General features: G+C 44.1%; 1 protein-coding gene across 4 annotated transcripts, besides 8 other annotated features; it reads left to right on the forward strand.

The window, feature by feature from the left end:
- Positions 1,644-2,043: a silencer, noted in NCBI's record as "silent region_20293". NCBI's record gives its function as "represses an Ori minimal core promoter by ATAC-STARR-seq in GM12878 lymphoblastoid cells {active_cell/tissue: GM12878}" and the evidence as "EXISTENCE:reporter gene assay evidence [ECO:0000049][PMID:35858748]".
- On the forward strand, positions 2,025-27,264 carry ZBTB34 (zinc finger and BTB domain containing 34). Of its 4 annotated transcripts, none has more exons than NM_001395198.1 (3): positions 2,025-2,125; positions 4,978-5,098; positions 20,776-27,264. In NM_001395198.1, the coding sequence occupies exons 2-3, from the start codon at positions 5,079-5,081 to the stop codon at positions 22,298-22,300; spliced, it is 1,545 nt and encodes a 514-aa protein (NP_001382127.1). In that variant the 5' UTR covers positions 2,025-2,125; positions 4,978-5,078; the 3' UTR covers positions 22,301-27,264. The 4 variants fall into 4 exon arrangements, with proteins under 4 accessions (NP_001382127.1, NP_001092740.2, XP_011517001.1 ...); XM_047423402.1 differs by lacking the exon at positions 2,025-2,125 and adding an exon at positions 2,606-2,622; NM_001099270.4 differs by lacking the exon at positions 4,978-5,098.
- Positions 2,074-2,153: a silencer, noted in NCBI's record as "silent region_20294". NCBI's record gives its function as "represses an Ori minimal core promoter by ATAC-STARR-seq in GM12878 lymphoblastoid cells {active_cell/tissue: GM12878}" and the evidence as "EXISTENCE:reporter gene assay evidence [ECO:0000049][PMID:35858748]".
- Positions 2,164-2,213: a silencer, noted in NCBI's record as "silent region_20295". NCBI's record gives its function as "represses an Ori minimal core promoter by ATAC-STARR-seq in GM12878 lymphoblastoid cells {active_cell/tissue: GM12878}" and the evidence as "EXISTENCE:reporter gene assay evidence [ECO:0000049][PMID:35858748]".
- Positions 2,164-2,965: a biological region, named in NCBI's record as "H3K27ac hESC enhancer GRCh37_chr9:129623061-129623858".
- Positions 2,168-2,965: an enhancer, noted in NCBI's record as "H3K27ac hESC enhancer chr9:129623061-129623858 (GRCh37/hg19 assembly coordinates)". NCBI's record gives its function as "activates a minimal SCP1, AML or CMV promoter by ChIP-STARR-seq in primed H9 embryonic stem cells {active_cell/tissue: H9 hESC(primed)}" and the evidence as "EXISTENCE:reporter gene assay evidence [ECO:0000049][PMID:30033119]".
- Positions 2,324-2,543: a silencer, noted in NCBI's record as "silent region_20296". NCBI's record gives its function as "represses an Ori minimal core promoter by ATAC-STARR-seq in GM12878 lymphoblastoid cells {active_cell/tissue: GM12878}" and the evidence as "EXISTENCE:reporter gene assay evidence [ECO:0000049][PMID:35858748]".
- Positions 9,858-10,439: an enhancer, noted in NCBI's record as "H3K27ac-H3K4me1 hESC enhancer chr9:129630751-129631332 (GRCh37/hg19 assembly coordinates)". NCBI's record gives its function as "activates a minimal SCP1, AML or CMV promoter by ChIP-STARR-seq in primed H9 embryonic stem cells {active_cell/tissue: H9 hESC(primed)}" and the evidence as "EXISTENCE:reporter gene assay evidence [ECO:0000049][PMID:30033119]".
- Positions 24,961-25,536: an enhancer, noted in NCBI's record as "NANOG hESC enhancer chr9:129645854-129646429 (GRCh37/hg19 assembly coordinates)". NCBI's record gives its function as "activates a minimal SCP1, AML or CMV promoter by ChIP-STARR-seq in naive H9 embryonic stem cells {active_cell/tissue: H9 hESC(naive)}" and the evidence as "EXISTENCE:reporter gene assay evidence [ECO:0000049][PMID:30033119]".
- Positions 27,265-27,633: the final 369 nt, after the last annotated feature.

Raw genomic sequence — 27,633 nt, forward strand, 5'->3', positions numbered from 1 at the left:
GAAAACAGAAACACATATGCACCTCAACTGTGGAGGAGTGACAGTTTTTTAACTAAAATTAGTAGAGACCATGACAATCAGCTAAACAACAAGAACGAAAAAAGCAAGGGGCTGGAAAAATATATAAATGATGAGTTTGGTGACCCAGTTAGGTGGGAGAGTAAATATAAACTATGAGGGAAATACCCAGCATCCAATGGACAGACAGAGGGCCAACAACTTTGAGACACTTGGCAGAGGAGGGTCAAAAACTCAGGAACTATTTTAGTCTTTATAGTACTTAATGATATGCAAATATTGTGTCACAGCCAAGAAGACCCTAACTCTTATCAACGAATTTAGCAAAAATCAGTTAAAATGATGAGGCCCAAGGCTGATCTGTAGGAAAACCTCTGGGCATAAGAATCAGCTCAGCAGTCCGGAGGAAACCTGACAAGATGATGTATTCCTGTGCCCTGGGTGCACACGTATCTCACCCTTGGGGACAGATCTCAAGAAAACAACTCAAGTGCAATAGCAATTCAAGAGCGAGACTACCTGTCTGCCCAGGTGCCTGCAGTTATAGGCAGGTTGCCTAAAATCCTATGCTTGGATGTTCTGTTGCTATAAGAAGTCAGAGAGACAAGGGAGTTCATCCCAAGTCTGCCATTTACTAGCTGTGTGACTTTGGATAAGTCACTCAACCTCTCTGAGCCTCAGTTCCCTCTTGGATTAAAATGGGAATAGATCGCCACCTCCTTAGGTTGTGTTAAATGAGGTCATGGCTGTCAAGTGTCTACACAGTGCCCTGCATGGAGTGTTTGACAAAGGGTAGCTGTTGCTATTGGAGGATGACCACTGGACAGATCCTGGAGAGACAGTTCCTGCTTGCAAAGGATGAAGTAACATCAGGAAGTCTCAGCAGCTTTCTATCCTGAAGAGGAGCTGGTATCTTTGCCTCCTAGTTTATTTTTATTACAAAGCCAGAAAAAGGAAAATAAACCTCTGCCACAACTACTGACTCCACCAAAATGCAAAGGGAAGCTCTTCAAAGAGTGTTACATTGGTCTAATGCTGGGAGGAAAACGCTGGGTGAGGCTCCCACTCCCACCCAACGGTTTGAAGACTGGGGTGTCCCCAAGGGTCTGGAAATGCACATTTTTTGAGGCATGCTCTGTGACATGGGTTTTATAACAGTGAGTTGGGAATTTTCACCTCCGTTTTGTTTTTGAGACAGGGTCTTGCTCTTTCACCACTGCTGAAGTACAGTGACACGATCATGGCTCATCGCAGCCTCGACCTCCCGGACTCAAGCGACCCTCCCACCTCAGCCTCCCCAATAGCTGGAACTACAGGCATGTGCCACCAAGCCTGGCTAAGTTTTAAAAATTTAAATGGGGCCTCCCTATGTTGCCCAGGCTGGTCTCAAACTCCTAGGATCAAGTGATCCTCCCGCCTCGCCCTCCCAAAGTGCTGGGATTACAGGCGGGAGCCACCTCCGTTTTGAGAGAGAGAAAACCTGCCCAAGGTGGTAAGTCAAGAGACCCCCTATGACAGGTCCCCAGAGCCCTGCTGCTAACCACTGCACCTTGCTGCCTTCAGCTGCCCTGCCAGGAGCAGCTCGGGTGCGTGGCATGCGCCTGAAGAGATGCAGGAGGGAGGGTCTTGGAAGGGAGGGCTGGGCTGGGGGCAGGCCCCCCAGTGCTGGGGGGGTCGAGGGTCCTGGGCTCTCTCCCACCCGTTCGATTCCGGGAGCCCCTGAAACGCGCCCCACTGCACCGCCCTTCTCCCGCCAGCAGGGGGCGCCGAGGAGAGCGCGGGCTGAAGGCAGAGCCGACGCCGCTTCCCGGAGTCGGGACTCCGGGGTCCAGACCAAGGCTGCCGCTAGCCCGCGGCGAGGCTCTGGGACGACAACCGGGCGGGACTCAGGACCCCGGGCCCTGGCTAGAGGTCCGCCGCGCAACGCCACCACCCGGGTTGGCGCCTGCCCGGAAGCGCGGGCGTCCAGGGGGCGGGGCCGGGAAGCGCTTCCGGGGGCGGGGGGCGCGGGCTGGGGCGGCAGCCGGAGCGGCGGGGACTGGCCTGGCGCCGGCGGCGGCGGAGGGGGCGCCGCGGGCGGGCGATGTGAGCGCGGCGCTCTGGACAGGTGAGGCACGCTGGCCGGGGGCGGCGAGCAGCGGGCTAGGCGCGGGCGGGGCAGGCGGGGCAGGCGGGGCGGGGGGCAGTCCCCGGGCCGCTGTCCGGCTCCCTCTGGGCGCGGCGGGGCGGGAGCCTCCGCGCCTGGTCAGTCCCGCGGGCAGGCGGCCGGCGCGGGCGGGAGCCGAGGCCGGGCGGGGTCCGGAGGCCCCGGGCACCTGCTGGGGTCAGGCGCGCGTCCCCGAGGGGCCAGCTGTGCTCGGTCCTGGAGTCCCGGCGCCGCTGGCCCGGCTGAGGGTCGCGCTCGGGCAGCTGCCCTGGGCTCCCAGCCTCCGCCCGGGGCGTCTCGGGATCCCCAGCTTCCGGGCCCCTAGCCCTGGGGGCGCTCCCTTTTGTACGGGGAGGGAGGGCAGATGGTTGAGTTCCCTGGAGAGCCGGCCGGGCCAGGGGTCGGCCCTTCGGGTGGCTGCCACGGAGCCGCTGCCTCACGCCACCGCCTTCCTCCAGGTAAACAGGCGGCGGCGACGGGTTGCGCTTGGCCCCAGACGTCTCCGTGGCCACTCGCGCTCAGTTGGTCCTGCCATTGCGGAGGGCTGGGCTGGGGCTGACCGGGGTTGTAAACAGTGCCCTTCTAGGCCAAGTGGCTGTGCTTTCAGGGCGGCACTCGTCTGGGAGTCTCTGTCTTGAGGCCTTCCGCAAGCCCCTTCCATGCTAGGACTCAGTTTCCCCATGTGATCATTGAGGGTTTCATTTAACTCTCTAAGAACCCTTCTGGCTCTGCCATTCCGTGTATGTCTCAAATTGGAAGGGCTGTCCCTGATTCAAGATACTGGGCAGTTTCGCTGAAGACTTTGTCAGTGTGGACTTTTTAAGCCACTTACTGCATTTTGTTTCAGACAGGCTTTAAAATGATTTCAAGAAGCGTTTTCTAAACCTCACCTTAATCCTCATTCATCCCTTGCTTTTGTCCCTAGTAGTAGTTAATCACATTCCGCCGAGTTTTTGCATGCAGAATTTTTTGTTGTTTATATTTGCCCATTTTCTCTTTGTTCCCTAGTCCAGGCCCTCTTTGCTTCACATCTGGATTATTGCAACAGCTTCTAAGCTGGTCGCTGACTCCAGAGGTTCCCCCCTCCCCCATCCTTCCTTTATGCTAAAGCCAAACTTACTATAGGAAGTCAAAAAATAGTTGAGTGCTTGCTTGCTTATTAAATGGCAAGATGCTGTTCCATGTGGTGGGAAAGTAGTAGAAGGCACACTTACAGTCTCCAGGCAGCTTTACACAGGGTGCTGAGACATTACTTATGAAAAGGTAATTTTGATGAGACAAGGCTGTGTGCTGTAGAATTAAGAAGGAGAGATGGAGGTCACTGTAGGCCGAGTGGTTAGGGAGGGTTTAGTGAGGGGCGGGATTTGAGCCGGGTGTTAAAGGATGAGTAGCATTCAGATAGGAAAAGAGGAATCAGGCCCAGTGATCCTATGGAGTTAGTGAATAGACCAGTCTCCTGGCAGAGAAGGGTTCATATAGGAGGGAAGTAGGAGGAGAGGTGGGCCGCGGCTAGTTCCTCAACTCAAACACTAGGTCAAAGTTGAAACTACTGAAGGCATTGGTGAAGAAGCTAGAGGCCAGGAGATCAGTTAAGAGGCCACGGCAGTTATACCACTGTTCAAAGCTGAGTAGTGGCCTCTTGCCTGCCACGGTATGTCCAGCCACCGCCCACCCTGTCTTTTCAAGACTCTCCGTGGTTTGGCCCCACCCCACCTACCTGAACCTTATTCTCTGCTTCTCCAAGTCTGTCCCCTGCAGAACTGAGTTAGTTACGGCTTCTTGGGTTTTGCTTCTGTTGTTCCCCCTTCTGAAGCACTGGCCTCCTTTTTCTTTTCTGTGCAAATTCTCCATTTCACTTCCTTCAAGCCCCTGCTGCAGATATACTTCCTCCAGAGGGTGTTCCCTGACTTCCCTGCCCCCATGGCTTTGTGGCACTCGGATTCAGCACTTGTTCCTTGGCTGTTGAACTTGTTCTTGTCCCAACTGGAGTGGGAGTTTTTTTAAGGGCATTGTGTCTTAATACTCCTCTCGGAGACCTTATAGTATCTAATACTGGGGCTGGACTTCTATAATAGGTACTCAAATACTTCCTGATTTTTGTTGGTAAACAACTTTTTGTTTTGTTTTGTAATTTGCCTTTTTTTTTTTTTAAGGAGAATCTGTTTTTATCAGCTTTCTGTGTCATAGATAAGTGATATGTAATGCTACCATTCAAGGTGGATGTTTTCAGCTTGCTCTCTTAGGGTGCAGAAAGCACAAAACGAATCTTTGAAACTTTGAAACGTTTCCCTCTGATCATGGGAAAAGGTAAAAGTCATGTGATTCTTCATTCGGAGGCTGTGGGGAAAGAACAGCAGCTTTGGAATCAGAGACCTGGGTTTGAATCCTAGCAAGTCTGCTTACCAGCTCTGTGAAGTTGAGCAATTTATCTAATGCCTCTGAGCCTCCGTTTCTTATTTGCAGTGTGGAGGATAATAAAATCCAATGAACTGTAAACGAAAATGGAACGAAGTAGAAAAATGTGCAGCACCTAGTAACTGCTTAGTACATTTTCATTATTGTTATTGTCATTATTGGGTGTACATTTATCAAGGTGGAGAAATGATAAGCTGCTGAACTGTGTACCTACTGAGTTTTGGATTTCTGCACCGCTGTGTCCCCCCACTTTTGCCTTCCATTTGAAGCACTTGTCTAAAATGTCAGTACCATGAATCTAGTTACGTTTTATTCCCGTTAATGTTCATGTTACTTTAGTTTAAATTCTGCTTAATGTTTTTCAAACTTCTTAATTGTGTCTATTTAATGTTTTGTAGCTGACAAACTGCTGAATTTAGCTTAGTGAAGGTCATCAACTGAACGCAGTTAAATTTCTAATGGTTATTTTCTGGTTGATGTTGATGGCAAGGAAAACCTCATGGAAGAATGCAAGTCAAGGTGAGCTTTTCTAATCCTTTTGTCATAAGAGGCAGGACTTAATGTATTTTCCAGGGCCAGTGCCCCTGAAATGCTAGCCAGCAGTAAGCAGATAAGATGCTGTGCCTTACTATTTTTTAGTTATTTGCCTTAAGAAAGCTTATTTTATCTGAAACAAATCCTCTCAATTAATGATTAAAATATGAAACATCTTTTTTCCTACTTCACTGACAGAAGTAAAAATAAGGGACATTTTGCAAAGAAATGACTGCAAACCACTTGAAGTACAACATATTGTGACCCCTTAATCATCACAGTGTCAGACCCAGCCTGACTTTGTCTGTGTGGTGGAACATCCTTAAATGAGAATTCTCTTTCTACTCGGAGTTGATCAGTAAGAATCCAGCACCAATAAAAATCCTGCATCTCACCAGTATGCCTGGATTAAAATCTTACTCTTATAAGAGATAAGAGTTCTGAGTCTGAGACTGACAAATCTAGGTCCAAATCCTGGCTCAGCCAGTCATTAGCTGAGTGACCTTGGGTAAGTTTCTCAGCCTCTCTGGGTTTGCTTCCTCGTCTGTAGAATGGGGATAACTGCAGCCTCTTAGTGTCGTCTAAGAGCTTACTTACCATACTGTACACAGTAGGAGCCTACTGACCGTTAGTCCTTGTCATTGCTAGTAAAATTAAAGAGGCCATTCCTCTCCTGCTTGGAAAGCTCAGAAGAAGCTTCTGATGATGTTTTGCATTGACTAAAAGACAAATCGCACCCTCTTGGAATTAGTGTATCTGAGCAGACCTGGAGAATGTTAACGCCTTGGTAGGAAATGTAACAGTTTGGATAAAAATGTTCTTTCAGGCTCACATGAATTAATGCAGTAAGAACTCTAAACTTGTTTTCTTTTAAATTAGGATGAGTGCTTCATGAATATCCATCACAGAATGCCATTTTATTTATTTTTTTTTTCTTGCATTGGGTTTCAGTAGCACCAGAATGTTTCACACAGCCCTGGTGTTATTTGACTGCTGCTTTCTAAAAGATTAGATTGTAGCTCATGACAGCTCAATTTTGGTTTTAATCTAGACCCAGGCAGAAATACCTAGAAAAGTTATTTTTATATAATTGTTACTTCTGTTACCATGCCTTTTGTCTGCGGTGCTTCAGTCTGTGGTCTTTTTAATGACTTTGTATGAAAATGAAAATTAGGGATCTTCAGGTTTCCAGTGCCTGCCAGAGAAAGCCTCGTTTGAGCTGTGTCTCAGGTATCAGCAAATGACTGAAGCCAGCAGGTGCAAATCTGGGTTTGGAATCATGAGCATCTTGATTGAGAATAATGGGTACCTCCTGGTGCCTTAAACAACTTCCAAATTTGTAACTTTCCTTTCTTTTCTTGGAAGTGTAACTGGATATTTTTAAACAAAGTGTAGCATCTTGTGGAGCAAATTAGACTGTTTATGGGTTAGGTTGGAATAAGCCACCGTGCTAGATTTTGCTGTGGGCAGAGACGATCCCGCATCTCTGGGGTCTCCAGAAGGAAAAGTTCAGAGCTGAGGGTGCGGCTGTAGTGGCAGTCCATGGATCTTGAGCCACCAGCTTGTTTTAGTTGACATGTACTGAGAGCCTCTCTGCCCCAGACACACTGCTGGGCTCTGGGCACGCAGTCCCTGCCCTCAGAGAGCTCACCGCCAGGAGTGGAAGCTCAGCAGTGAGGAGTCTCACAGAATCAGCACATTTCTAATTGTTCAGCTTTTACATTTTTACTTTTGTTCTGGTTGTTGATATGTGGAGACAGTTCCAAGGCTTTATCCAAGAAAGTTGTAGAGGAGATTTTAAGGCCCAGGTGGGTGTTTTGCCCAGATGGCATCTGAGAGTCCCTTCTTATTTTTAGGTTCTCTGCAGAATGGGTCAGCAGTGTGAGAGGATGTCATTAGTTTTCCATTGTTGCATTTCCTCACAGCTTAACAGAATACGTGGTGCAGAATTTTACTTAAAGATACTAGCCAATGGGGCCGGGCGCAGTAGCTCATTCCTGTAATCCCAGCACTTTGGGAGGCTGAGGCAGGCGGATCCCTTGAGGCCAGGAGTTCGAGACCAGACTGGTCAACATGGTAAAACCCTGTCTCTACTAAAAACACAAAAATTAGCTGAATGTGGTGGCACATGCCTGTAATCCCAGCTACTCAGGAGGCTGAGGCATGAGAATCACTTGAACCTGGGTGGCGGAGGTTACAGTGAGCCGAGATTGCACCACTGCACTCCAGCCTGGGCACAGAGCAAGACTCTGTCTCAAAACAAAACAAAAACAAAACTAGTCAGTGGAAAGGCTTGAGGAGAGGGCTAGGTGAGGATGTTACCCCCTTCATCAGGTGCTGTGTTTCCATTCCTCTTTTCTAGGAGCAAACACCCTTTCTATTCTCAGCCTTCTCTCTTTTTTTTTTCCCTCCCCGAGTAACCTCATTTTACCAAAACGATCCTCAGTCAGTACACAGTCACTCCCAAATCAGTATCTTCGGGTCTAATATTTCTCTCTAGCTCCAGCCCCATATTTCCCACGACCCCGTGAAAAACCTGAGCCCAGCTTGTCCTGGCTGAGCTACGTGGCCTCCGAGTAGACACCATGCCTCAGTCTCCAGGTGCTGCCGCCAGAATTCTGTTTGAGTTCTCTGAGTATTCAAGGCCCTCCACCTTCTGACTGTGGCCTTCTCCTTCCATGGCCTTCCTTGTCCCTGAGCTGGGGCCACTGCATGCTGCCTGCTCTACCCCAGACGCTGTTTGCATTCCCCTGTGCCCTGTTCCTGCTTTTCCTTCTGTCTGGAGTGTTCTTTTTTTTCCCTTTGAAATGCAAGGCCTTGTTCAAAAATATCTTCCTCCATGAAGTTTTCTTTTGTTCTATTTTGATTTTTTAAAAATCTTTTTGGTCAAAAGTAATCAGCCTTGTATTGTTCCTTGTAGTTCTTCGTTTCTGCCTTTATAACTGTCTGCTTGATGTAATAATTATCCATTTGCAGCCCATCTTTCTACTCTAGATTCCTTGGTTTAAAAAATTATATATTTGTAGGTACTAACCTACATGGCTTAAAAAAAAATTTTAGTGAGAATAATAGTTATGTGATTTTTTAAATGCAAAGGTATAAAATAAAGTCTGTTTCCCTTCCCTCTCCTTAGTCCTTCCCCACAGTGACCACCATTAATAGTACCACGTGGTTCCTTCCAAAATGGATACAGCAAGCAACGTAATATAATTCCTTTACAAAACGTACATGAAGGGAATGACATATATGCATACATATTAGTCTACATCTTGCTGTTTTTGGCTAAATCTTAGCACTCCTTCCATATCAAAGCATACAGATCTACCCACTCTTCTTAATAGCTGCGTAGTATTTCATTGTTGATTATATTTTTTGAAACCAGTTTCCTTTGGGGGTTCCTTTTTTTTTTTTTTTTTGCTATAGCAAAGAAAAATTCTTAGTGGTTGTTCTCATATGTCTCTCTTACACTTTTGTAGGTCCTATATATTAGTAGGCTTAATTCCTCCCCGTTACTTGTGGACCAAAAGGTAAATGCCTTTTACATTTTGATAGATATTACCAAATTATTCATTCCTGAGGACTACACTTGCCAGCTCTTTTAAACTGTGTGCAAGGCTGATGGGTTAAAAATGGTATCTCATTATTTTTTCTTTTTGTATTTCAAACGTCTTTAATCAGAAGTAAATTTTAGCATCTTTGCTTCTTTTTTTGTCATTTTTCTTTTTTTTTTTTTTTTGAGCTGTTTGTATCCTTTGCCCATTCTCCCATAGGGGTTTTTTTTGTGTATGTCACCTAATTTGATTTGTAAATTAAGGAATTTGGAAAGTAGTTCTTTGTCAAATATGCATATATTTTTCCTCAATATATCATTTATCTTTTGGCTTTTGGCGAAAAGGGGTATTTTTTTTGTCATGTACTTTTACGTTGTCGAATGTATTTGTCTTTGCCTTTGTGGCGTCTGAGATTTATGTCATGCTTGGAAAGGCCTTTGTGTCAGTGTTATAAATAAATTCACCCATGTTGTCTTTCATTTTTTTGTTTTTTTTTTTTTGGTGATAAGTCTTTTTAAAATACTGGCATAGGAATAGAGTGGCATTAAATGGAAAGTAATAAGATCCTCCATACATTCCTTGGTGCTTTATAAGAAATTGGTTGACATGTGACACCTTTGAAAATTCAAAGGAGCTGTGTTTGCCATTGGTGGGCCACGGTATTTTATGTGACCCTCTAATGTTACATATAAGGGCAGTTATTGCCTTTTTGCCTCTTTTACTAACTCAGTGAGGGTGGGGAGCTGAATGGAAGAGCAGGGGCTTGAGTTACTGGTTTCTGTTCACCCTTCTCAGCCTCAGCCGTGAATGTGACATGATGGTCGCTTGCTCTTCCTGTTTTTGTCGAGTGGCTTTTTGTTCTTAAGCCCCTTTGGGTAAAATGCGTTAACCTGGATTGGGGGGTGTCTCTCCCTTGTGTGTTGTTGCAGAGCAGCCTCTTGCTGTCCTGATGCATGGGCGCAGTGATGGATTCTGTAGCTTTTTTGAGTGGGATCTTGCGAAGATGTCAAGCAGCATTACTTACCAAGCCTGTCGTCATATGGTCTCGCATCAGACCTTAATTTTCTTTTCAGCGCATCCATGCCTGCTTATTTCCAGAGCCCCCGCTTTGGCTTTGGACTTCAGGTCTGTGGGAGGAGTGTCCCAGGATGGCTCGTGCGGTCATTTCCAGGCAGTGCCGCTCTCCCTGTGGCTTGTACCCACAGTGCCTCACTGTGTGAGTGTCCTCCTGCTCTGGTTGCCCAGCCGGCCATCACTCCACAGCGTGTGTTCATTTCTCCCAAAGCTGCTCGCCTTCAGCTGTGCTCACCTTTGCAGTGTGGCTTCCATGTCTGCCGTCCTCTGGTGCTTTCAGACTTGGCTTCGTCACTGCTTGGTCAGTCCTGGAGGGCCCCTCACAGTTTGCTGTTGCTTTCAGGGCGCCGGTCTCAATGCTGCTTTGAATTCTGTTGAACTTGGGCTGAACCCTGTGTCTTCTTGGCAGCATCTGCTCTCTGTGACTTTCACCTTCAAACACCAAAAGGACCGGTTTACTTGAGCCCTAGATCTGTGGTTTCTAATTAATTGAGGCTTTCGCATGTAAAGATAGCTTTTTATTTAAAGCAAGTAGAGTGAGCCAGGGTCCGGGGCTCTGAGGAGGAAAGGGGGATCAAAGCTGTGAATATGGAGGGCATGATACACGGTGGCCGCGGGGCCCACCTGGAACATTCTTCTCCTCATAACCCTTCTGCTAGTGATTCTGGTCTAGAAAAGAGGGAGATTTTGCTCTACAAAGAGGGTGCTTCACTAAACTCCTACAGCTGAAATTGCTTGGTCACAGCGAATATGCAGATGTAATCTTGATGGATATTACTAAAATGCCCTCATTTGCCCTTCTCTATTCTGGGCAGCAATAGGGAGGATGTTTGCCCACCCCCACCCCCCACCCCATCTCCATCCCTTTCCTTGACACTGTCCTAGGGCAGGAATGTAACACAGGTCCAGCTCGCTAGGGATAAGGGGTTGTTGTATAGGGACCTAGATACGCACACTTCAGAAGGGTCCTGGGAAAGTCAGCTGCTTGGATCCTTGGTTTCCTCATCTTTAAAATGGGAGTCATTGTACCTGCCTTAAGGGGCAGGTTGGGAGGATTCAGAGACATACTGCGTCCTAAGCCTTACTTACGACATGCCTGGCATGTATTACACATTCAATAAAAGCTGGTCACGGATGATGACGGTGGTGGAGTGACTCTGCCAAGTAGAGGGGGAGGCTGAGGGGTGTGGCAGCAGGGGCAGTCATCCCCTTTCACAGCAGCCCAGGCTGGTGTGGGGGCGGCTGGGTGCCTGGAAGTAGGAGAATGTCGGTCCTGCCCACATCAGAGGTGGTCCTTCCCAGAAGCTACCTGGGAGACCAGTGGTGGCCTTGTGTGGTCACGGCAGAGGCTGTGTGTGAGGTGAAAGCTATTCCACAGGTGTGAAATTATTCTCTTTCTTTGTAAGAAAGTAAGATTTTGGAAGTAAGAAATTAAAGAAATTGAAAGAGCAGAAAGATTGTCTTTCCATTGATTGAGTGAACAGAAGAGACCTGTGAAGAAGTTGAGGAGGTGACAATTTTGAACTTACCAAAAAACCATTTCAACAAAGTTCTATCCATGTGTATTTTTTAAAAGAAGTATCTCACATTCTTTTTCCAGAGTATAGTTTTTATAAACAAAAACAGAATTTTTGTTAAAATACGTATCGATACTGAAAATAAATCCAGCTTGTATGTGCTTGTTTTTTAAATTAAAATAATAGCAGTGTAAATGTCTAATTTGGGTGTGGTTTTTTTGCCTAGAATAATGTGACAGAAACACCTATGATTAATCTCCTGAATTAAAGAGTTCTGGTTCTGATGGTTTTAGTGAGTGGAATAATCAAATTCATTTTTGTTTTCTGAGGCAGCTGCAAACTTAATCTAAATGAAAAACTAATATAAATCACTACTCTGCATTATCAAAAATGAATTCCATTCCCATCTCTCTCTGAGTGGGGAGGAATCTGCATTAAGCCTCTATCAAACTGCAAGACTGGGACTTGTATTCATCTTTGAATTCCCTTTGGTTTTCTGTATGTAAGAGATTGATATTGAGTGAATATTTCCTATAAATGTAGGAAAAATAATTTAAATTCCCAGTCAGTGTGCCATTTAGTGATTGCAATTAAATCTAATACTTGCAGCGCATGACAAAAGGCTAATTTCCTTAATTTGCGAAGAGCTCTGACAAATCAATAAAAAAGGCAAATAAGGGCAAAGGATATGAGTAGGCAGTTCAAAGACAAACTTAGACAAATTGCCATTAAACATGAGAAAAGATATCAACCTCATTTATAATTAAACAAATGCAGCCGGGCGCAGTGGCTCACGCCTGTAATCCCAGCACTTTGGGAGGCCGAGGTGGGTGGATCATCTGAGGTCAGGAGTTCAAGAACAGCCTGGCCAACATGGTGAAACCCCGTCTCTACTAAAAATACAAAAATTAGCCAAGCGTGGTGGCTTGCACCTGTGGCCTGAGTTACTAGGGAGGCTGAGGCAAGAGAATCACTTGAGCCTGGGAGGCGGAGGTTGCCTTGAGTGGAGGTTGCACCACTGCACTCCAGCCTGGGCCACAGAGTGAGACTCTGTCTCAAAAAAAAAAAAGCAGCACATCAAAACAATGAGGTACATCTTTCACCTATCAGTTTGGCTGAAAAAGTGAAAGGGTTCGATACCCATTGCTGGCCACTATGGGGAAGGAGGCCCTTCCCTGTGAACAGATAATTGCTGCTACCTCTTAGAGGGTAATTTGGCATTATCAACTGAAATGAAAAATTTACCACAATTCTGCTAGAAGTTGAGGCTACAGATTTACTTACATAAGAAAGCCAAGATGTAAGTGAGGGGGGTGTGTGTGTGTGTGTGTGTGTGTGTGTGTGTGGAGTGGGGGTGACATTCTGTGTTTGTAATGGCTTTCTTAGTATCAACTGGGAACTGGTTAAGTACGTTGTGATATAGCCATCCATGGAATACTATGAAGTTAGAAAAAAATAGGTCAGCGTGTATGTGCTGCTATGGAAAGATTTTTTTTCTTTTTTTTTTTTTTTGAGATGGAGTCTCGCTCTGTCGCCAGGCTGGAGTGCAGTGGCGCGATCTCGGCTCACTGCAACCTCCCCCTCCCAGGTTCAAGCAATTCTCCTTCCTCAGCCTCCCGAGTAGCTGGAATTACAGGCGCGTGCCACCACACCCAGCTAATTTTTGTATTTTTAGTAATCTTGATCTCTTGACCATGTGATCTGCCCACCTCGGCCTCCCAAAGTGCTGAGATTACAGGCGGAAAGATTTTAAGCTATATTAAATAGATTTCTTTAAAGTAGGGTACAGAACAGTTTATGCTGATAGATGTTGAAAATTTTCTCTGAAAGAATACCCCAAAACTCCTACCAGTGATTATCTTTGGGAAGAGGGGCTGGGGGAAAGTTTTATTATTTCTGTTCTGTGATCTGAAGTTCTACCATATGCATATATTGTATTTTAAAGATAAAATTAATTAAAAATTGGCCAGGTGCAGTGGCTCATGTCTGTAATTCCAGGACTTTGGGATGCTGAGGTGGGAGGATCCCTTGAGGCCAAGAATTCGAGACCAGCCTGGGCAACATAGTGAGACCCTGTCTCTACAAATTTTTTTTTTTTTTTGAAATGGAGATTCGCTCTTGTTGCCCAGGCTGGAGTACAATGGCACGATCTCGGCTCACTGCAACTTCCGCCTCCCGGGTTCAAGCGATACTCAGCCTCCCGAGTAGCTGGGATTACAGACGCCTGCTACCATGCCCGCCTAATTTTTTTTTGTATTTTCAGTAGAGACGGGGTTTTGCCATGTTGGCCAGGCTGGTCTCGACCTCCCAACCTGAGGTGCTCCACCCGCCTCGGCCTCCCAAAGTGCTGGGATTACAGGCGTGAGCCACCGCGCCCGGCCTACAAAAAACTTTTTTAAAAGCTGGGCACGGTGGTGCGTGCCTATAGTCTATAGGGAGCTATAGCTATAGGGAGGATAGCTTGGGCCTAGGAGGTTGAGGCTGCAGTGAGCCAAGATTTTGCCACTCTACTCCAGCCTGGGTGACAGAGTGAGATCCTGTCTCTAAGAAAATGTAATTCAAAATTGATCTAACTTAGGTGTAGGCCCACTGACATTCCACACAGGGGAGAAAATCAAGAGCTTCAAGAAACCAGTGAGTAGCCCATGTTGTAAAGCTGCTAGTACAGAGGGATAGAGGATCATATTTGAACTTGAATTGTGCCTACGTAAGAGGCTCTGACCTCCTCTATCCTGGGATCACTGGACCTGATAAATCTACACATGGAGTGTAGAACTTGTGATCGATGATGAGTTTCTCTTCCTTTAGTCTGGTCATATGGCTCAGACTGAAATTAACTGTAAGTTCACTATGTGCCAGTCATTTAGAAGCTTCTTGTTCAAGAGTGTGGCTTGTTAGCAGCTCTAGGGGGGAATCTTTGAATCTCATTGTCACTGTGGAAAGGAAGTGTTAATGTAAGGGAGAGGAGAGCAAAGCACTTCCTTTCTCATATTGCAGAAAAATGGAATCCCACTCTTAGGTGTTAATCATGGCGTTCCGTTTTTCTCAGTGATTATCTTTCAAGTGTAGTTCTCCACCTTTCTTCTGAGAAGTAGTTAAGGAAAAAACAGGAGGGGGAAGCCTCATTGGGAAGCCGCTTTCAGTTGTACATTCTATTTCAGAAATGCTCTGTTGCATTCCTTTCTGTACTGGTTTTTGCCCTGCAGTCCACACCTTTAAAAAGCCTGAACCCACCTTCCTTTTGTCCTTGCATTCCAAAAGTCACTATTTACGCACCCCGTGTCATGAGAATGCTATGATGAGTAGGTAACATTTGCCTATTTGTTAGGTGCCAGCTGAGTTGCATTTTTATAAGTTTTGCCAATTTGAGAAAGAAGTATTTTGTCTCATGTTTATGCATTTATTTATTTTTGAGACAATGTCTCACTCTATCACCCAGGCTGGAGGGTAGTGGCACAATCTCAGCTCATTGTAACCTTGACCTCCAGGACTCAAGCCATGCTCCCACCTCAGCCCCCCGAGTACCTGGGACTACAGGCGCCCACCATCTTGCCTGACTAATTTTTGTATTTTTAGTAGAGACAGGGTTTCACCACGTTGGCCAGGCTGGTCTCGAACTCCTGAGCTCAAACGATACGCCTAACTCGGCCTCCCAAAGTGCTGGGATTACAGGCATGAACCACCGTTCCTGGCCTCATATTGATGTTTGTTTACTGATGAAGTTGTTAAGCATTTTTTTTCTTTTCTTTTTTTGAGACGGAGTCTTGCTCTGTCGCCCAGGCTGGAGTGCAATGGTGCGATCTCGGCTCACTGCAACCTCCGCCTCCCGGGTTCAAGCGATTCTCCTGCCTCGGCCTCCCGAGTAGCTGGAATTACAGGCTCCCGCCACCACGCCCAGCTAATTTTTGTATTTTTAGTAGAGACAGGGTTGCACCAGGTCGATCAGGCTGTTCTGGAACTCCTGACCGCAGGTGATTTCACCCGCCTCAGCCTCCCAAAGTGCTGAGATTACAGGTGTGAGCCACTGTGCCTGGCCTAAGCATTTTTTCTCTACATGTAAAGGCTATTTTTATTTCTTTTTAAAAGCCTCTGTTCATACATAGTCGCGTTTTTCAGTTGTTACATTTGGCTTTTATTGATTTGTGAGAGACTCTGCTGTGTATGTTCTTTTTTTTTTTTTTTTTTTTTTTTTGAGACAGAGTCTTGCTGTCTCCTAGGCTGGAGTGCAGTGGTGCGATCTTGGCTCACTGCAAGCTCCGTCCTCCAGGTTCACGCCAGTCTCCTGCCTCAGCCTCCCGAGTAGCTGGGACTACAGGCGCCCGCCACCATGCCCGGCTAATTTTTTTTTTTTTTTGTATTTTTAGTAGAGATGGGGTTTCACCGTGTTCGCCAGGATGGTCTCAATCTCCTGACCTGGTGATCTGCCCGCCCCGGCCTCCCAAAGTGCTGGGATTACAGGCGTGAGCCACCACGCCCGGCCTCTGCTATGTATGTTCTAGGTATTTTTATTGTTTTCTACCTCGGTGTTTTGTTTTGTTTTGTTTTTTGCTGAAAAGTATTTTTTAGATATATAAAAGTTGTATTTCTTCTGTAGTTACTACGTTTGTTCTGGTATCTTTGTGTGCTTAGAAAAACCTCTAGAGGTTATTTTGGGGTATGCTGTGAAGAAGGATCTAAATTTATTATTAATTCAAATTCTCTAAGCAGCATCTATTTCAGTAATTCTCCCCTTTTTACTTACTTGAAATGGCCCGTGAGGCCATCTCAGTCTGATTTCTACCTTGACAATCTCAAGTGGCTTCTGTCCTGCCCCTTGCGCCTTGTTCCAGCTGTGCACACACTTCCAGCACGTCCTTCCTCCCCAACCCTTTGTACGTGTGATTCCTTCTGTCTGGACAGTTTCCCTGCAGCACCCCGATGCCCACATGTATCTGACTAACCTTTACTTGTCCTTTAGTTCTTATTTAAAATAGCAGTTGTTCACATAGGCTTCTCTGACCACTCCCCCATCGTGAAAGATCTCATAGCTTTTATCATGGTTTATGATGAGAGAATTAAAACTGATGGATCCCTAGTGCCTGACACTTAATACATACTTAGCCAATGAATTATAGCCCAATCACACATTTTGACATCTATAAGTTTGGTTGTATTTGTCTATTTCTAAAATTTCTTTAGTATTCTAGATCTGCACTATCCAGTTTGGTGGCCACTGACCACAGGCGACTGTTGAGCGCATGGAATGTGGTTAGTCCAAACCGAGCCATGCTGTGTGTAAAATACACATCAGATTTCAGAGACTTAGTGTGAAAAGAATGTAAAATGTCTCAACTTTCTGATATTGATTACATGCTGCAGTGATGTATTGGGTTATATAAAATATTACTACAATTTATTTTTTTAACTTTTAAAAAATGTAACTACTAGAAAGCATTAAATTACACATGCAGTGTCTTATATTTATGTTGGACCACAATGTTCTAGATGAATTTTAAAATCATTTTTTCGGATTTCTAAGAAAAGATTTCATCAGGCTATGTTATATTTATAAATTAATTTTGGGGGAGAGTGTCTCTCTTTATGGTATTGAATCATCCTGCCAGAAGCATGTTCTCTCTCTTCATTTATACAGGCTTTTGTCCATATTAAAATGAGTTGTATTTTTCTTGTTGACCCTGTTTTTTGCTTATCTTCCCCCACCCCTAGGTATTTTCTGGTTCCTGTTGCTATATTGTTGGTTGCACCTTATTGTCATTATCTTACCTGTTTTTATGTATAATTTTTTGAAACCCTCTACTTAGTAGATGCCTATTCTGACATTTTCCAAGTGATTCTCTTGGGTTTTCTCTAAATAATTTGCATATTATATCTGCATGTAATAGTAATTTTGTCTCTTTTTTAATGGCTACTTGCCTTAATGTTACTTTGGCTAGAAGTTCTGAAATAATGTTAAGTGAGAGTCGTGATGGCAGATAACCTTGTATATCTTCCCAGGCACTGATGGGAATGACTGCACTAAAGTTTTACCAAAGTGTGCTCCAGGGAACACTCATTCTTGGGAATATTAATATGTGTACCTTGAGAGAACAGTTCCACCATTAAATGAGTTTGCAAACTGCTGAGTTAAGCAGGATTCTTGTCCGCAGGACTTTTCTGATGGGATATTATGCTAATGTGTGTTTTAATCCCTAGGAGGTGAGGATATTGGGGCTAGCTATTGGGCTTGGGTTCTACTAAATGCATTTTGGGAAATGCAGACATCATGTTTCCTTTTTTTTTTTTTCCCTTCCGTCCTTCCCCCCTTCCCCCCTTTCCCCCTTCCCTCCTTTCCCCCCCTTTCCCCCTTCCCCCCTTCCCCTTCCTTCCTTCTTTTCCCTGTTAAGTATACCAACATATGCAGTGTTTCCTTTTTAAGGATGATGTTGCTATTGGTTTGTAGTAGATACACTTTATTGTATTAAGAAAGTATTGTTCTGTTTCTAGCCTATTATTTTTGCCTTACGCTGAAAGGGCATTTAACTTTTTCTCACATGCATTTTTGACATAGTATTGATTTGGTCATATGGGTTTTCTCCTGTACTTACTGATGTTGCAAATTATATTCATCTATTTATTTCTGAAGATGTAGACATCCTTACATTTGTGAAGCAGCTGTTCTTGGTCATAATATATTATTTTAATAGGTTGTATTTGCTAGCATTTCTGTTAGGACTTTAAAATCTATTTATTTAGATGAAGTAGACAGTTTTCTTCTTTCTGCTATTTGTCATCTTCTGGTATCAGATTTGTGCCATATGAACTGAGATGCTTTAAATGTTTTTACATGCATCTAGAACAGTGTGAACGGCCTGAAGATCATTTGTGCCTTGGCACTTCTGTTTCTTATTTAGTTCTGCCAATTTATGTTATCCTAAAAATATGTTCATTTCATACAGATTTCAAATTGATTTCAATCATAAATCTAGGATAAATAAGGGCACAGTATTCCTCTTCGACTAAAATGTTTTAACTCAAATTTCGATGTGATAAAAAAAAATTCGGACATGATCTAGGCACATTTAACTGATCCTTTCCTGTGAGAGCCTTAGATTTAGTTGCACGTTGTCTTGTCTTAAAATTTAAAAATTCCGTCTGTGATTATGTGCTGTTTTTCTGTATTAGTTATTTTCCTACTGTCTTTGGGCATCATTTGTTTTTCCTTTTCTGACCTCCTGAGTTCAGTCATTTCACTTGTTTTTAGTATTTATTGTTTAATGATAAAAACTCTTAAGGCACTGACTTTTCCTGTTACAGCTTTTTGTTGTTGTTGTTGTTTTTCGAAACTCCCAACATTTCATTTTGAAAAACCTCAAACAGAAAAGGTGAGAAAATTTCACAATAAGTGCCCAGATATCCACCATGTAGACTCTACAATTGTTAACATTTTACTGTGTTTGCTTTATCACATATCTGTCCATCTCTTTTTTGGAGATACATTCTCAAGTTGAAGACATGAGTAAACTTCACTCCTAAACCCAGATTTTACGTGTTTTCTCATTGTCTAAGTAGTTTTATTCCATTTAGATTTTTTTCTGATCTAATACTTAGGAGGTGTTTACATTTCTGTTGGTCAGGTTTTAAAATATAATTGTTAGATCTGGTTTTGTTATGTTTCTGTCAGAGGATGGAGCCGGGGCTATATATACTTAAGTAGTTCTGAGCAGTCTGGCGCTGCAGATTTTAGGCCACAGGAAGGAAACCTGTTGTAGGTGTGCCGCAGCTGTGAGCGCTAGTAGAAGGTGATTCCTTTTGATGTGTCCATCACCCTTTCACTCTTGTTGTCTAAAATAACTACTGTTTAAAAACACTGTCTTGGCAGAGCGCGGTGGCTCACGCCTGTTATCTCAGCACTTTGGGAGGCCGTGGCAGGCAGATCACTTGAGGTCAGGAGTTCGAGACCAGCCTGGCTAACATGGTGAAACCCCATCTCTACTGAAAATACAAAAACTAGCTGGGTGTGGTGGTGCACGCCTGTAGTCCAGCTACTCAGGAGGCTGAGGCAGGAGGATCACTTGAACCCAGGAGGCAGATGTTGCAGTGAGCCAAGATCATGCCATTGCACTCCGGACGACAGAGCGAGACTCCATCTGTAAAAATAAAATAAAAATAAATAAAATAAAATATTGTCTAAAATAACTCTTCACTGGTCGGGTGTGGCAGCTCACACTTGCAATCCTAGCACTTTGGGAAGCTGAGGTGGGAGGATCACGAGCTCAGGAGTTCAAGACCAGCCTGGGCAACATAATGAGACCTCATCTCTAATAAAAAATAGTAATAATAGGCCGGTGTGGTGACTCTTGCCTGTAATCCCAGGACTTTGGGAGGCCGAGGGGAGCAGATCACCTGAGGTCAGGAGTTCGAGACCAGCCTGGACAACATGGTGAAATCCCGTCTCTTCTAAAAATACAAAAATTAACTGGGCATGGTAGCGCATGCCTGTAATCCCAGCTATTCAGGAGGCTGAGGCATGAGAATTGCTTGAACCTAGGAGGCGGAGGTTTCAGTGAGCCGAGATCACGCCACTGCACTCCAGCCTGTGCAACAGAGCAAGATTCTGTCTCAAAAAAAAAAAAAAGTAATAATAACTCTTCACTGAAGGAGACTGAGCATGGTAAGTCTCAGCCAAAGCAACCCAACCCAAAAGAGATATAAAGGTGTACAGAGCTGAAGGGCAAACACACAAATCAAGACAATAATACTGAAAAGGGTTTAGCTCCATTTATTGTATCCAGTGTGCTACAGAGTTGAAAAATACCAATCAGAAATACACAAGTAAGGTAGAACATTTTTAGATGAATTTAGTTTTGTTTTTGTTTTGTTTTTTTTTTTTTTTTAGAAGGAGTCTCACTCTGTCCGCTAGGCTGGGATGCAGTGGTGTGCTCTCGGCTCACTGCAACCTCTGCCTTCTGAGGTCAAGCGATTCCCCTGCTGCAGCCTCCCAAGTAGCTGGAATTACAGGTGCACAACACCACACCAGGCTAATTTTTGTATTTTTAGTACAGATGGGGTTTTACCATGTTGGCCAGGTTGGTTTCAAACTCCTGACCTCAAGTGATCCGCCTCCCTCAGCCTCCCAAAGTGCTGGGATTATAGGTGTAAGCCACTGCGCCTGGCCTGAATTTAGTTATTTTTCACAAAGTACTTCAAACCCTCAAAAGTACTTGAAATGGGGAAATATTTTTCCTAAAAGGAGACCAATTTCTCAGTCAGAGCCAAAATAGTCCTACTATGTGTAAAATATTTTACTTTTGATCAAGATGAATATTAGGCAATTATGACATTAGGCTAATTGATCATTAGTTTATTTGGCTTTAGGTGAATTAACCAAAACATGAAAGACTAAAACAAGGGGAAGAATGCTTCAGGTAGATTTTAGGAGGTATGATAGCCACAATGGTATTGTTGTTGTAAGCTTGTGTTTATGCCACTTGTACTTAGTGAGGAGTCATTGGTGAATGATGCAAACTCTCTCTCTCCGCAGAGTACGCTTCATGTCAGTAGAAATGGACAGCAGCAGTTTTATTCAGTTTGATGTGCCCGAGTACAGCAGCACCGTTCTGAGCCAGCTAAACGAACTCCGCCTGCAGGGGAAACTATGTGACATCATTGTACACATTCAGGGTCAGCCATTCCGAGCCCACAAAGCAGTCCTTGCTGCCAGCTCCCCATATTTCCGGGACCATTCAGCGTTAAGTACCATGAGTGGCTTGTCAATATCAGTGATTAAAAATCCCAATGTGTTTGAGCAGTTGCTTTCTTTTTGTTACACTGGAAGAATGTCCTTGCAGCTGAAGGATGTTGTCAGTTTTCTGACTGCAGCCAGCTTTCTTCAGATGCAGTGTGTCATTGACAAGTGCACGCAGATCCTAGAGAGCATCCATTCCAAAATCAGCGTTGGAGATGTTGACTCTGTTACCGTCGGTGCTGAAGAGAATCCCGAGAGTCGAAACGGAGTGAAAGACAGCAGCTTCTTTGCCAACCCAGTGGAGATCTCTCCTCCATATTGCTCTCAGGGACGGCAGCCCACCGCAAGCAGTGACCTCCGGATGGAGACGACCCCCAGCAAAGCTTTGCGCAGCCGCTTACAGGAGGAGGGGCACTCAGACCGCGGGAGCAGTGGGAGCGTTTCTGAATATGAGATTCAGATAGAGGGAGACCATGAGCAAGGAGACCTATTGGTGAGGGAGAGCCAGATCACCGAGGTGAAAGTGAAGATGGAGAAGTCCGACCGGCCCAGCTGTTCCGACAGCTCCTCCCTGGGTGACGATGGGTACCACACCGAGATGGTTGATGGGGAACAAGTTGTGGCAGTGAATGTGGGCTCCTATGGTTCTGTGCTCCAGCACGCATACTCCTATTCCCAAGCAGCCTCACAGCCAACCAATGTATCAGAAGCTTTTGGAAGTTTGAGTAATTCCAGCCCATCCAGGTCCATGCTGAGCTGTTTCCGAGGAGGGCGTGCCCGCCAGAAGCGGGCTTTGTCTGTCCACCTGCACAGTGACCTGCAGGGCCTGGTGCAGGGCTCTGACAGTGAAGCCATGATGAACAACCCCGGGTATGAGAGCAGTCCCCGGGAGAGGAGTGCGAGAGGGCATTGGTACCCGTACAATGAGAGGTTGATCTGTATTTACTGTGGAAAGTCCTTCAACCAGAAAGGAAGCCTTGATAGGCACATGCGACTCCATATGGGAATCACCCCCTTTGTGTGCAAGTTCTGTGGGAAGAAGTACACACGGAAGGACCAACTGGAGTACCACATCCGGGGCCATACAGATGATAAACCATTCCGCTGTGAGATCTGCGGGAAGTGCTTTCCATTCCAAGGTACCCTCAACCAGCACTTGCGGAAAAACCACCCAGGCGTTGCTGAAGTCAGGAGTCGCATTGAGTCCCCCGAGAGAACAGATGTGTACGTGGAACAGAAACTAGAAAATGACGCATCGGCCTCAGAGATGGGCCTAGATTCCCGGATGGAAATTCACACAGTGTCTGATGCTCCCGATTAAGATGGTAAAGAAGTGCACCCAAACAAAGCACATTAATCAATGCATATTTGTGATTTGCTTTGTTGTAATCTTTGGTTTTCCCAACCATCTGGAAATCTCTTGGTCTCTTGGCAGTTTTTCTAAAGTTTCTGGATGGAACACTTCGTTGTGTTTATCCTTTCCCCTGCCCTCCCTCCCCGAAGGAGCTCAAAGCATGAAGGGCAACGCATCCAGGGAAAACACAGGCTGACAGTATTCCTCTTTGGCTGAACTCTTAATCCAAAATCTGCCAGTGATTTAGCTATGCCAACTGGTTGACCCTCCATTCTCTGCCAAGAGGCATACTCTTTCTCATTGTGTGCGCTGGCAGCAGTGCACTTCCACGGAGGGAGATTAGGATGCCGTCAGCTGATACAAATGGGTAACCTTTTCTAATTTAAAATTCCTTTTAGGGGGTAGTTAGACAATTTATATATATATATAATAAAACTATTATTATATATATAGTATATATACATTTTCAAATTTGATTTTATTCTGGTTGAGGTGAATGTAAGAGGAATATATAATTTAATACAATGTGAACAGGGCTTCTGAGTCTATCTCATCCCTACCTAATATGTTAGGGTTTTGCCCCTTCATTTCCCTTACAAAAGAATGTTAGTAGGTTTATATTAATCATTGTGTCCAAAAGCAAGCAAAGCAAATCACAGTGTTCACAGCTCTGCTTCATAACAAATACATAAACCAAATGCCATAAAATTTCTTCAACTCTAGTTGGAAACCGTTTGGAATTTTTGTTAGTTGTCCAGCAGGTAAGCTGGATGACCTGTGGTGCTGACCTTTTTACATAGTGTAGTGTTATATTAGCCAACCCCAAAGGAGCAGTGGTTTTCAAGGTTTTTACTGGCCTACAAATCTACCTTCATTCCGTACTGTAGAAACATACATACCAGGTAACTAAATCGAATCACTCTCTATCATGAGTTAGTACTCACTCGCACTTAAGGAAAGGGATTTGTAGTTCTGTCTACAAAATTCTCCAAGCAGTGTTGTGGTTTTTTTTGTTTTTGTTTTTTTTCTTTCTCTTTTCAAACAGCCAGTTCAGGTGCACAGCAACTTTTTCTACATGCAGTTCCCAGGGAAACTGCAGAACTTAGAATTTGTACTTTTTGTAAAGCTATACTCTATGGGAATTGCAAGCAATATATCTATCTTAGTATTGTGTGTGCTAATGAGAGCCTCAGTGGCTCCCCCACTCTCTCAGTGTTTCCTGCTTAAAGAACCAACAGTTTAAAAGCCCTCTAAGATACTCTGTGTGTCACCAAATCTGTGTGTCACCATTTTTTGGTCATGTGGTGCTATTTTTGTTAAGTGTCTTTTTAGGTCAGTATAGTTGTAGAAAATGTGAAATCTGATGGTAATAATGAATTATAATTGTTTTCCTCTCTTGAGTTCATAGCTTGAAAAGAGACCTCAAAAGCATGTGCTGGCAAACACGTTACTGTATGAAAACATACCTGAGTCCATTTGAATAATGTTTTATTAGTACTTTCGGAAATGTCTTCAGTTCTGTATTGTGTTCACATACACAAACAGGCTTTACAAGATTGCTTCGGTACTGTAAACTCTGGCAGAGAGTAATTTTGTAGGCAGTTTGGTGGTGAGTTTGTGCTGCAGGCTGCCTGTGGGATGTCAGCGTTCTGGTATCTGCCTGAGAACCTGGGCTCTGAGACGCACAACCAGTGCACCTCCATAGGAGAACAGTGCAGCCACCTAAAAGAAAAACGAACGAAGGACCAGCCTCAGAGGCTAGAAGTTAAAGGAATACAGAATTAGATGTTTGCTGGTTTTCTGTGCTTTTTTGGCTCCTAAAATACCAATGGTGGATTTGTTTTTGTTTTTGTTTTTTGTTTTGAGAAATAAAAAGTCATTCAAGCCCTTTGTGTGTAATAGCCCCCAGGGGTGGCAGCTGTGCAGTCGCATCTCTTTGGCACACAGGATCTGTTCACGTGTGAACTGCTGCGCTACACATCAGTGTTAACTCCCTACAGATTACACTCTAATCCCGCTGCTCCCGAGGAGCGGCTTTGCTAAATCGGGTATATAGTATATGCCTTTTTCCTCGTCAAACTGCCTAAGTAGGGGTTCGTTCTCTCCCTGAAGCACTTGTTCAACTCCTGTTAAAGCCGCGTGCCTCAAGGGGAGGCTGGACCCCAAGTGTTTACCCACTTAAATATGTTCTGGGGTTTCAGGTAAATGTTTGTGGGTTTTTTTTTCCTTACATGAATAAGTTTGGTTTTGATTTTTTTTTAATTGAATGCAAAAAATTTGTGTTGTGATACAAATTAAGTTTGTGACAAGAAATGCCCAAATCCAAGGACATAAGAGGTCAAGCTCAGGGAAGGAACCTCCTTTTCACTCAGGCTTGGGGCCTCCAGCGAGGTTTCCAGAGCATTCCATGGTATGAGAGACAGTGAGGAGGGAGGGCACCTGGCGCGGGCACTTCCAGCGTCCTGGCTCTTGGCATTGTCCGTCTTAACCTTATTTACATGGAGTTCTTTGTATTTGTGAATCTGTTTAACTGGTTTGAGTTTACCAAAGAGTGACTTATCCAAAATTGTCTTTGACAAAAATATCCATTGCTTTGATTGTACAGTTCAGGTTCAAACATTGTAATGGGACTGTTAAGGGGCAGAAAATTGATTGAGTTTCTCTCTAAGAATCATGATTCCACATTTTGCAAGTTCCACTTGCTCCCATTCGTGTTGCTAACACTTTACCCTTTCCACTGCTCGCAGTGTTAAGAATGAATTCTCAAGCCATAACACAGTACTGTAAAGTTCCGCAGGGCTTCGAGGGAGGCAGCGCCTAGGCCAGCACGGAGCTGTGTAGCCTCTCTGAGCGTTCGCACTGTCATGCTTCCCAGGGGTGTGACTGGTGAGAGATTAACTCCATTCAGATCGGGCAGCAGCAATTAATTGTGCCTTGCCGCATGAGGATGTGTCAGGAGGATTAACATGACCACAGAACCGAAACATTCTCTCCCTGAAGTTCACTTCACGTCTCCGCAGACGAAGTACGCTGTGTAACTCCTTAGAGCAACTCTTTTTGGAAAGCAAAGTCCCTATTTCTGTACAGTTTTAGGTTAGGTGTTTCATTTATAACAGATGCAGAAATCAATTAAGATAAAGTGATATGTGAAGAAATCTTTTACAGTAAAATATATCCTGAATTCATATAGGCTTGTTCATAATTGAGTCTCTTCTTGAGCTACCTTTTCAATATTAGACAATGTGAAGACAGTGACAGCGTCCTTTTCTAGAGATATTTAGCCTGTTATTACAAACTGTGAAGACAAAGAATTTTATACTTTTACTAATGTTTGTGGTTTTAAACAGTTATTTTCATTCTAATCAGTTCTCTACCCTCTAATTTCTACTAAAGCTGTAAATACATTTAGAAATTATATTTGTAAATACAGTATATGGAGACAAGTTAATTTTTTGGTCAGTGGAAAAAGCCTCCCAACCAATTGGCCCTGCCTTGGCAGTTGTGTTTTTTGTTGTTGTTGTTGTTGTTTTAGTTTAGTTTTTTTTTTTAAACAGCAGAAAGGATACTGTCGGTTCACTGTTGAGCAGAATATACTGTAGAACGAAAATGATAATTTTTAAATCTTCCAGAGCATGAGTAAATGTCTTTTCTAATGATAGCAAATATAACCAACTCTTTGTTTTTCCCTTAGCCCAGACCATATAGACCTGCGTATTTTGTGTGTGGTTTTGTTTTTATTTTTGTTCTTACAGCCTAGACCCTAGGAAAAATTTGCAGGAACACGAAACAAGGGCTGGGGGGAAAATCATCTATGTGAATGAGCTTTACTTTAAAGAGATCAATGTATTTTATTTTATCAACTTTTTCTCTTAGTTACTGTGATTTTTGTTGTTGTTGTCCTCGTTATTGTTAAATTCTGTAATGGTTTCCTGTGAAGCCTCCACTGAAAGGGACTCAAATATGCAACACCTAAACTATTTTCCAAGGGCACATGCCCCTTGAATGGTGCTTCTAGACTGGTCAGGGTTATTTATTAAATTTTATATATGAAAGTATTGGGGAATTATGTAAATTCTTTATATGAAACTATCTAGTTCATAAATCATAGATTTCATATTACTCAGTGCAACTGAACTAAAAGTTCAGAAAAGTCATTCACATTGTTCCAAATTTGTAATGGTTGTCACATGTCACATGCGTCTTTTTCAGTAAGTGCCAGAGTGTTCCCACTGTTTCTGCCCAGTGCTTGACTTCTCGGCCCGGAAGAGAACCTGCTTTCTCTGGTTTCCTTCCTGAGTCTGGCACAGACGGGGCTATTGTAGTTCTTGATCAAGTCCTGGAGTCAGCCTTGCCTGGCTCTCCTTGTAGCAGATTCAGTCCACAGACCTCTTGCTGCCCCTCAGTGACAAGTATGCTGTGAATTCAACCTTTGGACTTGCTGCCCAAGCCTTTGGTTGCTGCCCTGACTATTGTAAGAGGTAAACTTACCTGGTTTGTTTGAGAATGACCATTTTCCTAATGTGAAAACCATCTCTCTCACCACTTTTATTAGTAGGGCTAACATTTTTTTCCGTTATAAATGGTTGAGCAATTTGAATGACTTAACACAGTGTCATTATCTTGCAATATAAACTGGTAACCTCACAACTCCACACTTCATCACCATATGAAGTAAATGAAGCTAGCTAAGCGGATGCTGTATCAACTAGTAACTTGCCATTAAGGATTATTTTATAGCATGAATTTAAGACTATTTATTCAAATGATATTTTACTCTTGTATTCACTTTGTTTTAGATTTGTGACATGAATATTTCAGTGCTGCTTAATTTTGTTCTGAATTCTTGTTTCTTGCTTGTAAATGGCTTTTTTATGGTATAAATAAAGTCAATGGACATTGCTGTTTGTAAATAAAAATGCTGCTAGAGCAAATGTGCTGTGGTCTCCCTCTGCGTGGGCCCCCTGAGCTTCGGTGAGTGTCAGTGGCTCTGACAAACATCTGCAGTGTCATAGTTTCTGTAATCACTGTTTTTGAAAGGTGAGGGTTTCCTAAGAAGCTCTTGTGCCACCATCGTGCTGAAAAGAAGAGAAAGAAGCGAGTATATTTCTGACCTCTTGTGTGGCGACTGAATTGTCGGCCTCGGTCTGCACCCAGGCACCCCCAGAACAAATCGTGAATCCCTGCCCCTCGCGCCTGCAGAGAATATCTCTTGCTCAGTCGTCCACAAAGGGTGGGGTTGCCCAGGCTCTTCTGTCTCCACTCAGCCAGTTAACTCCCCCTCCTCCTCCAGGTTCCAGCCC

Source organism: Homo sapiens, chromosome 9 (genome assembly GCF_000001405.40).
Source record: "Homo sapiens chromosome 9, GRCh38.p14 Primary Assembly".
Classification (NCBI taxonomy): domain Eukaryota; kingdom Metazoa; phylum Chordata; class Mammalia; order Primates; family Hominidae; genus Homo; species Homo sapiens.

Excerpts from the sequence above, each read along its gene's own strand:
- ZBTB34 (NM_001395198.1), top strand. The coding sequence starts at position 5,079 with ATGGAAGAATGCAAGTCAAG. Across the intron at positions 5,099-20,775 it reads ATGGAAGAATGCAAGTCAAG|AGTACGCTTCATGTCAGTAG; the intron begins GTGAGCTTTTCT and ends CTCTCTCCGCAG.